This window comes from Homo sapiens, chromosome X, assembly GCF_000001405.40.
Source record: "Homo sapiens chromosome X, GRCh38.p14 Primary Assembly".
NCBI classification, from domain to species: domain Eukaryota; kingdom Metazoa; phylum Chordata; class Mammalia; order Primates; family Hominidae; genus Homo; species Homo sapiens.
The window spans coordinates 95,678,443-95,680,046 of record NC_000023.11 but is presented as its reverse complement, the minus strand read 5'-3'; the positions used below and the strand labels follow the sequence as shown (position 1 = coordinate 95,680,046).

The 1,604-nt window shown below is 36.5% G+C and overlaps 1 pseudogene; it reads left to right on the top strand.

Moving 5' to 3' along the window:
- On the top strand, window positions 316-948 carry RPS7P13 (ribosomal protein S7 pseudogene 13; annotated as a pseudogene).

Below are 1,604 nucleotides of genomic sequence, written 5' to 3'. Positions count from 1 at the left end.
TTCTAGGATGATGGTGAATATGGCTTGAGAATTTTCAAATCTACAGCATGAGGATATCTGCTATTTAATACTTAGCCACCATTATAGGGATTTCTTTGGATACTTCCTTAGATGAAGACAATAACTTTTTTACTGCCATATGAAAGCAATTTCCTAGTTGAGGGAAACACACACACACAGATGTCTATACACAAACAATATTTATCTTTGATTGTCGTTAGAAACCTAGTATCTTGAGCACATCAAGGCTTGAGTTAAAAAACAAAACAAAACAAAACAAAACTAGAAAATACTGAACATGAAATAATACTTTTTGGAATTTGATGAGCTCTCGTGAGACTTGGGCCTCTCCCTAAGCTGACTTTCAGCAAGGAGAAGGACAAGTTTGAGTTTGGGCCCAGGCTCTTCAGGAGCTGCAGATAAACTTGGACCTCAAGACTCAGCACAGGGAGCAGAATATCACAGCAGCCAAGGAAACTGAAGTTGGTGGTGGTCAGAAAGTGATCATAATCTTTGTTCCCATTCAACTGAAATCTTTCCAGAAAATCCAAGTTCAGCTAGTACGTGAACTGGAGAAGTTCATTGGGAAGTATGTCATCTTTATTGCTCAGAGGAGAATTCTGCCCAAGCCAACTCAAAAAAAGCCATACAAAAAAAATATAAATAAATAAGAAAAAGCATCCCAGGAGCCATACTCTGACAGCTGTGTAGGATGTGATCCTTTAGGACTTGGTCTTCCAAGTGAAGTTGTGGACAAGAGAATCTGTGTGAAACTGGAGGGCAGCTTGCTCATCAGGGTTCATTTAGTCAAAGCACAGCAGAACAATGTGGAACACAAGGTTGACACTTTTTCAGGTGTCTATAAGAAGCTCACAGATAAGGATGTTAATTTTGATTTCCCATAGTTTCCGTTGTAAACAAAAATGACTAAATAAAGTATATTCACAGATTTAAAAAGGAAATAATACCTTTTAATCTAACTTGAGATAAAGCTATCAATTTAATCACTGTAATAGATGAGAGTTTTGTTTAACTGTGGTTGGTTAAATATTAATATAAACTATGAAATTAGCTTGTTCCAGCGAGTTGTATACATGAAACATGCTGTTAATTCATCGTTAAATATGCTCACTGGGTGTGACTCACTGAACTGCAGCAATGCTCTGAGAGTCAGTATTCAACTGGTTCACCTAGCTTGCTATCGGCAAATGCCCAGAGGCTGGTGACCAATAATCCAGTGTCAACAAATACAGAAAATACCTATATCAATTAATAGGTTGCTTTACTGATGATGTCAAATATTATCTTTCCCCAAAAACGTCTTGAAAATAATTTAAGATTATGTTGCTCATCATGGAAATAATAATAAATTCTCTAAGCCTACCCTTAGGGGAGATTTAGTTCCTGCCAGATATAATTTGTATCTTGATTATCCATGAGGCAAGCGCTGGTATCTGTTTGGGTAGCCTGGGAGCGGTGGTTAGATCATCATAATGTTTAATCAGTGAGATGAGTTAGTCAGTTATCATGGAAACACACAAAAGACAAACATAGTCAGGTGTTTTCTTATAAGATTAAACAAAAATATAAATTACATCAATAAT